General features: G+C 44.8%; 1 protein-coding gene across 4 annotated transcripts in view, besides 4 other annotated features; it reads left to right on the top strand.

Annotated features, from left to right (window-relative positions):
• Nucleotides 1,605-1,831: a silencer, noted in NCBI's record as "fragment chr15:64652953-64653179 (GRCh37/hg19 assembly coordinates)". NCBI's record gives its function as "represses an EF-1alpha promoter that drives an FKBP-Casp9 reporter gene in an ReSE screen in K562 erythroleukemia cells {active_cell/tissue: K562}" and the evidence as "EXISTENCE:reporter gene assay evidence [ECO:0000049][PMID:32094911]".
• Nucleotides 6,412-10,328, top strand: part of CSNK1G1 (casein kinase 1 gamma 1) — a 190,649-nt gene continuing 186,732 nt past the window's right edge. For 3 of the 4 annotated variants that reach the window (NM_001329607.2, NM_022048.5, NM_001329605.2), the window contains exon 1: nucleotides 6,412-6,597. The gene's annotated coding sequence lies outside the window, so the exon portion shown is untranslated. The remainder of the gene's footprint in view (nucleotides 6,598-10,328) is intronic. The other variant, NM_001329606.2, reaches the window with a different exon arrangement.
• Nucleotides 6,477-6,526: a silencer, noted in NCBI's record as "silent region_6533". NCBI's record gives its function as "represses an Ori minimal core promoter by ATAC-STARR-seq in GM12878 lymphoblastoid cells {active_cell/tissue: GM12878}" and the evidence as "EXISTENCE:reporter gene assay evidence [ECO:0000049][PMID:35858748]".
• Nucleotides 6,637-6,696: a silencer, noted in NCBI's record as "silent region_6532". NCBI's record gives its function as "represses an Ori minimal core promoter by ATAC-STARR-seq in GM12878 lymphoblastoid cells {active_cell/tissue: GM12878}" and the evidence as "EXISTENCE:reporter gene assay evidence [ECO:0000049][PMID:35858748]".
• Nucleotides 7,087-7,146: a silencer, noted in NCBI's record as "silent region_6531". NCBI's record gives its function as "represses an Ori minimal core promoter by ATAC-STARR-seq in GM12878 lymphoblastoid cells {active_cell/tissue: GM12878}" and the evidence as "EXISTENCE:reporter gene assay evidence [ECO:0000049][PMID:35858748]".

Genomic DNA, 10,328 nt, shown 5'->3' with positions numbered 1-10,328 from the left:
GTTTAACTAAGATTGATTGATTGATTGATTTTGAGGCAGGATCTTACTCTATTGCCCAGGCCAGAGTGCAGTGGTGTGATCTCAGCTCACTGCAGCCTCAACCTCCCTTGCTCAAGTGATCCTCCTGCCTCAGCCTCCTGAGTAGCTGGGACTAAGGCATGCGCCACCATGCTCAGCTAATTTTAAATTCTTTTTTAGATATGCGGTTTTGCTCTGTCACAAGCTGGTCTTGAACCCCTGGGCTCAAGCGATCCTCCTGCCTCAACCTCTGAAACTGCTGGAGTTAAAGGTGTGAGCCACCATGCCCAGTCAAAACCAAGGTTTTAATTTTGTACCCTTCTTCACAAAGTTAGTCTGTTTTTTTTTTTTTTGAGATGGAGTTTCGTTCTTTTTGCCCAGGCTGGAGTGCAATGGTGTGATCTTGGCTCGCCGCAACCTCTGCCTCCCAGGTTCAAGTGATCCTTCTGCCTCAGCCTCCTGAGTAGCTGGGATTACAGGCATGTGCCACCATGCCAGGCTAATTTTGTATTTTTAGTAGAGATGAGGTTTTTTCATGTTGGTCAGGCTGGTCTCGAACTCCTGACCTCAGGTGATCCACCCACCTCAGCCTCCCAAAGTGTTGGGATTATAGGCATGAGCCACTGCTCACAGCTTTTTTTTTTCTTTTAATGCATTATTCAAATTATTAATGCTAGTGTTACTCCTGACCAGATAATGATTAAAACTACTCTGGAATTTTTGAATGCTAGAGCATTGTGAGCATCATATGTATTTTGTGTTTCCATAGTTTTACAAAGGACGAGCAAATACTCAAGAGAAAATTATAAAGAGAGCTCAAAGACTTATTTAAAAGATGTCAAATGCTTATTATTTTTCCCCCTCATCTCTCCCATGAGATTCTAAAAAAAGTAGAATTTTGCCTGGGTGCAGTGACTCACACCTGTACTCCCAGCACTTTTGGAGGCTGAGGCGGGAGGATCGCTTGAGCTCAGGAGTTGGAGACCAGCCTGGGCAACATAGACCTCATCTCTACAAATAATCAAAAAATTAACTGGGCATGGTGGCTCACATCTGTGGTCCCGGCTACTTTGTAGGCTGAGGTGGTAGAATTGCTTGAGTCCAGGTGGTTGAGGCTGCAGTGAGTCATGATCACATCACTGCACTCTAACCTGCTCAACAAAGGGAGACCCCGTCTCAACAGACAAAAACATGGAATATAAAGCCTAAACTAAATGCACTTTTCTCATGTGTACACTGCTTACAAATTCTACTGTACTTAGAATCTTCAAGCTAACTCACTTTCAGAAAAAAAATGTTCAACTGAGCCTTGGTTCAACCATCATTGTTATAATGGTTTCTTTTACCTTTGAGAATAGCATATGAAAGTGGGAGAGAGATTATAGGTATGAGCCACTGTGCCCGGCCGCAACCTTCAATTATTTAGATAATTGTTATATCTTTAGCCTTCCTAAGGCTGTTATGTCTTCAAGCTTTCTAAGCATTAACATTTGATGGTTTATGTTATGTGTATCCTAAGTGACTTTCTCTGAGTCCCTTGTGTAAGGGACTATGTCTTTTATATTGTATATTGCTTAGGCACATAAATGATAAGTTTGGCTAAATTTCTTCTTATTGACTCCACACATTCATTAATTGTTAGACTGTAGTTTTGGTATTTTATTTTATTTTATTTTTTATTTTTTGAGACAGAGTCTGGCTCTGTCACCCAGGCTGGAGTTCAGTGGTGTGATCTCGGCTCACTGCAACCTCCACCTCCCAGGTTCTCCTGCCTCAGCCTCCCAAGTAGCTGGGATTACAGGCACCCACCACCACACCTGGCTAATTTTTTGTATTTTTTTTTTTTTTTTTTTTTTTTTTTTTTAGTAGGGACAGGCTGGTCTGAAACTCCTGACCTCAAGTGATCCACCCACCTTGGCCTCCCAAAGTGTTGGGATTACAGGCATGAGCCACTCTGCCTGGCCTAGTTCTGGTATTTTATGTTTGAAGATGCCAATGTAACTCTAACAATATTTAAATATTAATTCCTGTAGTAGTATTTAAATATTAATAATTGAGTTACAGCATATTGGGTTTCCCCAATATACATTAGATATGTTAAGTTTTTAAATGATTACCAAGGGCAATAAAAAAAATGAAGACAGCTCAAGAGAGTGGGAGAAAAGTTTGGAAGTCCCATATTGATCTGTAGGATGAAGGTACTGTACTGACTTAATGAGGGCTATTTGAGATCTGGCCCAGATCTGAGAGCACTGCCTTATAGTTCATATTAAGTATATGGATTCATGGGCTGGGCGCGGTGGCTCACGCTTGTAATCCCAGCACTTTGGGAGTCTGAGGCGGGCGGATCACGAGGTCAGGAGATCGAGACCATCCTGGCTAACAAGGTGAAACCCCATCTCTACTAAAAATACAAAAAATTAGCCGGGCGTAGTGGTGGGCACCTGTAGTCCCAGCTACTCGGGAGGCTGAGGCAGGAGAATGGCGTGAACCCAGGAGGCGGAGCTTGCAGTGAGCCTACATCGCGCCACTGCACTCCAGCCTGGGCAACAGAGCGAGACTCCGTCTCAAAAAAAAAAAAAAAGAATATGGATTCATGGCCGGGTGTGGTAGTTCACACCTGTAATCCCAGCACTTTGGGAGGCTGAGGCCTCCAAGAGTTCAAGACCAGCCTGGGCAACAGAATGAGACCCCCTTCTCTACAAAAAATACAAAAATTAGCCAGGTGTGGTGGTTCACAGCTATAATCCCGGCACTTTGGGAGGCTGAGGCAAGCGGATTGCTTAAGCTCAGGAGTTCAAGACCAGCCTGGGCAACATAGTGAGATCCCATCTCTACAGAAAATACAAAAATTAGCTGGGTGTGGCTGCACACTGCATGCCTGTAGTGCCAGCTATTTGGGAGGCTGAGGTAGAAGGATCGCTTGAGCCTACGAGGTGAAGGCTGCAGTGAGCCAAGATTGTGCCTGCACTCCAGCCTGGGTGACAGAGTGAGACCCTGTCTAAAAAGAAAAAAAAAAAAGAGAGAGACTATGGATTCCCCACAAAAATTACAAAAGTGTAGTTAAACTCACATACCTAATTTTAGGTGGGGTTTGTACTATCTATCTTTAGAGATCTCAAAGCAATGAGTATGTTGAAAATAATAGAATAGAGGACATGTGATGAATTAGGAGTCAAGCCAGTTATTCATACACCTATACAAAAGTGCCTGGAGTTTTTAAAAAAGCTGTAGGAAGAGAGGATGTAAACAAATGCTGCTTATAAATCATTTTTCTTCAGGCAGTGGGTAAAATGAGTGATGCATAGGAATTTGCATTTCTACATTGGCTTACGCTATCACATTTAATCATAACTTGATTTTCTTAATAAAACATTTCTTTCTATAGAACACATTTATTATTTACCATAATCATGTTTTAATTTTTTGAAACATCCTAGTCTATCATAGTTTTAGATATATTGTTGTTCATTGAGCTCATTTTATTTACTATTTCAAAGTTTTTTGATATTTAAACCTGTTTGGCAATTGAAATACCAAGCTCTGTTTTGTCAGGGTAACATGTTTACCACTTGTCACTTTCAGCCAGGTTTTTTTTTTTTTTCTTGGAGACGGAGTCTTGCTCTGTCTCAGGCTGGAGTGCAATGGCACGATCTTGGCTCACTGCAACCTCAGCCTCCTGGGTTCAAGCGATTCTCCTGCCTCAGCCTCCCGAGTAGCTGGGATTACAGGCATCTGCCACCATGCCCGGCTAATTTTTTTTTTTTTTTTTTGATTTTTGGTAGAGATGGGGTTTCTCCATGTTGGCCAGGCTGGTCTCAAACTTCTGACCTCAGATGACCCACCCTCCTTGGCCTCCCAAAGTGCTGGGGTTACATGTGTGAGCCACTGCATCCCGCCCAGGTTTTTAAAGGAACAATTAGTGGATGAGCTGAAATTCCATTTGAATTGTGCATGTGTATATACTCCCACATGTATTCATGTCAATGGCAGAGGTGGAGATGTATTAAACATCCTATTGACCCATTTGAGTTTGAAGTGATTTCCTAAAGGTTTTGCTGAAGTGATTGCCTATGGTGAATCAATTTAACCCTGTCTCATGCATACAGGAAACCAATAGACGTGGTGTTTCGTTTAAGTGACCAAAGCTCATTTCCTCTCTGCCCCAGTTAAGGTGGATAACAGTTCAATTTTGGTGTCTATAAAGAGGTTATCATGACCAATAAAATTAGAGCCTGCCGTGGCAAGTATATTCACTGCCATGGAATAGAAAACAAATTTAGGAGCTACTGTTAAGCATTCTGCTTGTAAGAAGACCTATTTAAGATAGGAAAACCAAATGAAGATTTTTACTCATTTTTCTCTGAATGCCCAACTGCATTTCTCTGAATATTTTACCTGCCATAACGATATGGGTTCTTTTCCTTTTTTTTTTTTTTTTCTTTTTTCTGAAACGGAGTCTCGCTCTGTTGCCCAGGCTGGAGTGCAATGGCGCAATCTCGGCTCACTGCAACGTCTGCCTTCTGGGTTCAAATGATTCTCATGCCTCAGCCTCCCGAGTAGGTGGGATCACAGGTGCCCACCACCACGCCCAGCTAATTTTTCTATTTTTAATAGAGACAGGGTTTCACCAGTTTGGCCAGGCTGGTCTCGAACTCCTTACCTCAGGTGATCCTCAGGCCTCGGCTTCCCAAAGTGCTGAGATTACAGGCGTGAGCCACCGCACCCAGCCTCCAGATACGAGTTGTTTTTTTCGAGTATTACTTTGTTAACTTTTACCCCAACCATTCATTTTCCCAATATTTTCAAACCCCAAATCACCCAGACACAATAAATGAGGTCTCTTTTCTTATCCATAGTGTCGGTATGAAAGTTTATTTTGAAGGTTTTTTTTTTTTTTTTTAGACGGAGTCTAGCTCTGTCTCCATGCTGCAGGGCAGTGGCGCGGTCTCGGCTCACTGCAACCTCCGCCTCCCGGGTTCCCGCGATTCTCCTGCCTCAGTCTCCCGAGTAGCTGGGACTACAGGCACACGCCACCACGCCCAGCTAATTTTTGTTTGTTTGTTTATTTATTTATTATTATTTTTGAGACGGAGTCTCGCTCTGTCATCAGGCTGGAGTGCCATTGGAGTGCAATGGCACGATCTCGGCTCACTGCAATCTCCGCCTCCCGGGTTCAAGCAATTCCCCTGCTTCAGCCTCCCGTGTAACTGGGACTACAGGCACGTGCCACCACCCCCAGCCAATTTTTTGTATTTTAGTAGAGACGGGGTTTCACCATGTTGGCCAGGATGGTCTCCATCTCCTGACCTCGTGATCTGCCCGCCTCGGCCTCCCAAAGTGCTTACAGGAGGACTACAGGCGCGAGCCACCGCGCCCGGCCAATTTTTGTATTTTTAGTAGAGACGGAGTTTCACCATGTTGGCCAGGATGGTCTCCATCTCCTGACCTCGTGATCCGCCAGTCTCGGCTTCCCAAAGTGTTGGGATTACAGGTGTGAGCCACCGCACCCGGCATATTTTGAGTTTTGAGTGGAGGATTAGACAGTCTTCTTCCTTCCCAAATTTGATTATGGGCTCCCTTTAGCCTTTTTCTTTGTTTTCTGTCTTTTTTCCACCACCACCCCGCCCCCGAGGCGCAGTCTCAAGAGGTCCTGAGAACATGTGCCCTGCTCTCTGTTTTAAGGATTAAAATAACTGTCGAGTTACATTGAATCTTTTTTGCCTATTCCATTTGGCTAGGTTAATTCCAGACCTTACACAAACATGTGCAGCTCTTACAAAATGTAGGTGAAGACAACATTTTTCTAACCATTCGGCTTCATGGGCTGTCACAGGAGAACTAAGTGCATGAAAAACCTTTCACAACATTGAAAGAAATTTTAAAAATCTGGTTGAAACACAATTAAAAATCCACAAGAGGGAGATGCTTGCTAAACCGTCAGAAAATAATTCCCTCGAGGGACCTGAGAGAGGAGCCTGGAGCCTTAGGAACAGCCACTGGGTCAGCCACGGGATTAAGGGTGGGAGGGAGCAGGAGTATATAGAGACGGGGGCTTGGTGGAGGAGTACAGTTGAAGGGAAAAGCGGGATGGGTTTCGTGCCTCTGGCAGCGAAGCGTGTACTTGGTCTAAGATCTTGAGCAGAAGGTAAGAGCGTGTTGCCAAAGCAGAGCTCAGTGCTCCCGATATATCTTCTGGTAGTCCCAGAAGAAATGGGGGTGGGTTGCTTTGAAGGCACTTCCGCTTAGCAACCCCACGCGGTTGCTAAGGAGGGGGCAGCCGTGGGGATAACCCGGAAGTGATGGTGTCAGTTTAACGCTGCCTGCCCAAAGTTTGTCCTATTAGGCCCGCCAGGGTACTCTGCGACTCCGGGACGAGGGCGGGGCCGCGCTAGTGGTTCCGGTTCGGCTCCAGCCGCCCCTCGGCTCCTCGCCTTCCCCCTCCCGTCCGCCTTCTCCCCTCCCTCCCGCTCCTGGGAAAGAGAGAAACCACCGCTGCGGGTGGGTAGAGAAGCACTTGGCGCCTCGGGGAGGGGACCGCGCCCGCCTCATTTGCGCCTTGCAGCACTGCTGGACCAGGTATCTGCCCGGCTTCGTCGGGGTTCTGTAGGCTGAAGTCTGAGGGGGTGTGTGTGTGTCTGAGGGGGTTGGTGGGGGGCCCTTTCCTGGGCGTGGGTGGGGGACGCCGTGATCCCGGGTGGGGCGCAGGCTGGCGTTTGTGTCTGTGGAGGGTTGCGGGGGCGGAATGGAGGGGCTGAGGGACACAGCGGGTGGAGAGTTTCGGTTAGCGGGGTAGAGGTAGGCGGAGGAGGCGCCCCTTCCGAGAAACTGACTCTAGCCGGTGTGGACCGGGAGTTTGCCACCTGGAGGGCTTACTCTGAAAGGGGGAGCATCCCCCGGGAGCCAAAAGGAGGGCACAGATCTCGTCAGGGTGACTGGGGCTATCCCGTGCTTCCATTGCCCTCTTTCCCTACCCACCCCGCTGGGACAGAGCTGGACTTCGAAGGTTGTGGGGGTTCTGAGTCGACTGGGTACCGCGGGGAGCCGCCCTTGGCGGAGCTTAGGGCACAAGAGTGGGTAATGAGACTTTCCTCTACCCAACTTCCGTACGCTTCCCCCACTTCTTCCTTTACTGTTTCCTCGCCCCCACGTCCTACAGGAGCAATGTCCCCCAAGTGGGCAGGCATCACAATGTAAAAGAGAGTGGAACTGGGTTTGTTGCCCCTAAATGACACTTAAGATGTTTGGAAAGTGCCTGAATGACATATTCAACCAAGTCTCCCAGCTCGATATTAATTCCGGTATAAATTACCTTAGAAAAGTGGAATTCTGAAAAGCATTTAACAATAGGCTAGTCCAGGTGTAGTCTTGTGTAGTAGATGTACGTGTTTATTTAAAAAGAATGGACTGGGGAAACCATATAGATGTATCACAGGTCTAGGCAAGACATGTTGAGGCAAGGCTTTTGCAGCCTCTTTCTTACCTGCCAGTAAACCTGTCCTAATTTAAATGAAGTAGAAAGATCCTCTTCATTTTTGTTTCAATCAGTGACTGAATACTAGGTGCTGTGTAGTGATGTCTCAGAACAGATATGTGAATTTTCAGAGAGAGAATGAATGTTCTGCTGTTGAGCCTGTGTCTTAATCTTTTAAGGAGATAATTGCGGTCAAGTGGAAGTATTGACTTTCAGGCAGATAAATCTTGGGTTGAACCTAGACTATGCCAGTTGCTAGTTACTGACCTTGGGCAAGTCATGGAACCTACCAGAGCTTTTGTTTCTTCATAAGTAGTATGAGTTAAAATTCTTACCTGTATTATAAGTAACATCCCATTTTAAACGGAACCACCTTTGAATTAGAAGATAAATTATTACCATTAATCATACACAGTCAAGGCAGCCCAGTTTTGTGAAACGAGGTTTGAGATAGGAAAGCAACCGGATAATTTTGAAAAAAAAATGCATACAATAGGACTTTCAGTGTCTTCTCGAAATTGATCGTAGGTAGCATGAAATTCAGTTATCAGTAGTTTCTTAAAATTCAAAATAATAAAGTAGAATATGGCCCATTTATTGAAATGAGCAAAATATATTTTATAGATTTTTCTCAGCTACACCATATTGGTGTTTATAGTATGGATTAACACGAAATACATGAAAAAGTAATGTATGTAAATCTTAACATCACATGTCTCTTTAAAGAGAATTAAAATTGGGGTGTAAAATAGAAGGTACTTGTTTTTTGTTTGTTTGTTTGTTTGTTTGAGACAGAGTCTTGCTCTATCACCCAGGCTGGAGTGCAGTGGCACGATCTCGGCTCAGTGCAACCTCTACCTCCAGGATTCAAGCGATTCTCCTGCCTCAGCCTCCTGAGTAGCTGGGATCACAGGCGCCTGCCACTACACCCAGCTAATTTTTTGTATTTTTAGTAGAGAGAGGGTTTTACCATGTTGGTCAGGTTGGTCTTGAACTCCTGACCTTGTAATCCATCCGCCTTGGTCTCCCAAAGTGCTGGGATTACAGGTGTGAGCCACCGTGCCCGGCCTACTTGTAATTTTAAGATAAAAATCAGCAGCATCAGCAGCACCTCTCATCTCAGTTAGATTTATGCTACTAGAAAAACTTATATAATATTCAGAAAACAAAATCGAATACATTTCTGCCTTTAAATCATTCCTTATTACGATATAGAAATAAATCCAAGAAACATGAAGTCTGTTTTTTATTTATTTTTAGTGACAAGGTCTTTCTCTGTCACTTAGGCCAGAATGAATGCACTGGGGCAATTATACTCACTGCAGCCTCAAACTCCTGGGTTCAAGCAAACCTCCTGCGTCGCCCTCCCAAAGTGTTGAGATTACAGGTGTGAGCCACCTCACCCAGCCCATGAAGTCTTTTTCTTTCTTTTTTTTTTTTTTTTTTGAAATGGAGTCTCACTCTGTCACCCAGGCTGGAGTGTGGTGGCACGATCTCGGCTCACTGAAACCTCCACCTCCCAGGTTCAAGCAATTCTCCTGCCTCAGCCTCCTGAGTAGCTGGGATTACAGGCACATGCCACCACATCCAGCTAATTTTTTTGTATTTTTAGTAGAGACGAAGTGTCATCATGTTAGCCAGGATGGTGTCTATCTCCTGACCTCGTGATCCACCCGCCTCAGCCTCCCAAAGTGCTGGGATTACAGGCATGAGCCACCGTACCCGGCCAAAGTCTTTATACTCATTTGTTTTGTGGATTTAAAATAATATAGTTATGTGTCACCTATTATATGTCAGATTTTCAGCTAACGTAGTTTGCTTTTTGAGGTGACTTATAGTTAGTTATTTTCAAATGTAATTTATACTCAGAGGACAAAAATCAAATAACTTCCTGTAATAATAGATGTTTGTGAGAATACAAAGTTTGCAATTCAGTTTGACCTTTTTTGAGAAGTTCATAAGTTTTGTGTAAATTTGTGAGAAATTTTCTTTTCTTTTTTTTTAAAGACAGATTCTTGCTCTGTCACCTAGGCTGGAGTGCAGCAGCATAATCTCTGCTCATTGCAATCTCCGCCTGCTAAGTTCAAGCAGTTCTCGCACCTCAGCTTCCTGAGTAGCTGGAACTACAGGCGTGTGCCACCATGTCCAGCTAATTTTTGTGTTTTTAGTAGAGAAGGCGTTTTGCCATGTTGGCCAGGCAGGTCTCGAACTCCTGACCTCAAGTGATCCGCCAGCTTTGGCCTCCCAAAGTGCTGGGATTACAGGCATGAGCCAACACACCCAGCCCTGAGAAATTTTCAAATATATTTCTTCCCCATGTCTCTTTGTTTTATAAAGAGTTGAAATTAGGCCAGGCATGGTGGCTCATGCCTGTAATCCTAGCACCTTGGGAGGCCGAGGTGGGCGGATCACCTGAGGTCAGGAGTTTGAGACCAGCCTGAGCAACATGGAGAAACCCCATCTCTACTAAAAATACAACATTAGTCAGGCATGATGGAGCATGCCTGTAATCCCAGCTACTCGGGAGGCTGAGGCAAGAGAATCGCTTGAACCCGGGAGGTGGAGGTTGCGGTGAGCCAAGATTGTGCCATTCACTCCAGCCTGGGCAAGAGCAAAACTCCATCTCAAAAAAAAAAAAAAAAAAAGAAGAATTCAAATTATGTTTTGTGATAGTTACAGAGTTTTGGTAAGGTTATTTAGCTTTCTAAATGGCTCTTCTGAGAGTGTAAGGTCTGTATATATCTAAGCTTTCTGCTGTGTTTTCTTTTATCTTTTCACTTTTTTTTTGAGATGGAGTCTTGCTCTGTCACCCATGCTGGAGTGCAGCGGCACTATC

Source organism: Homo sapiens, chromosome 15 (assembly GCF_000001405.40).
Source record: "Homo sapiens chromosome 15, GRCh38.p14 Primary Assembly".
NCBI classification, from domain to species: domain Eukaryota; kingdom Metazoa; phylum Chordata; class Mammalia; order Primates; family Hominidae; genus Homo; species Homo sapiens.
This window is presented reverse-complemented; position numbering and strand designations above follow the sequence as displayed.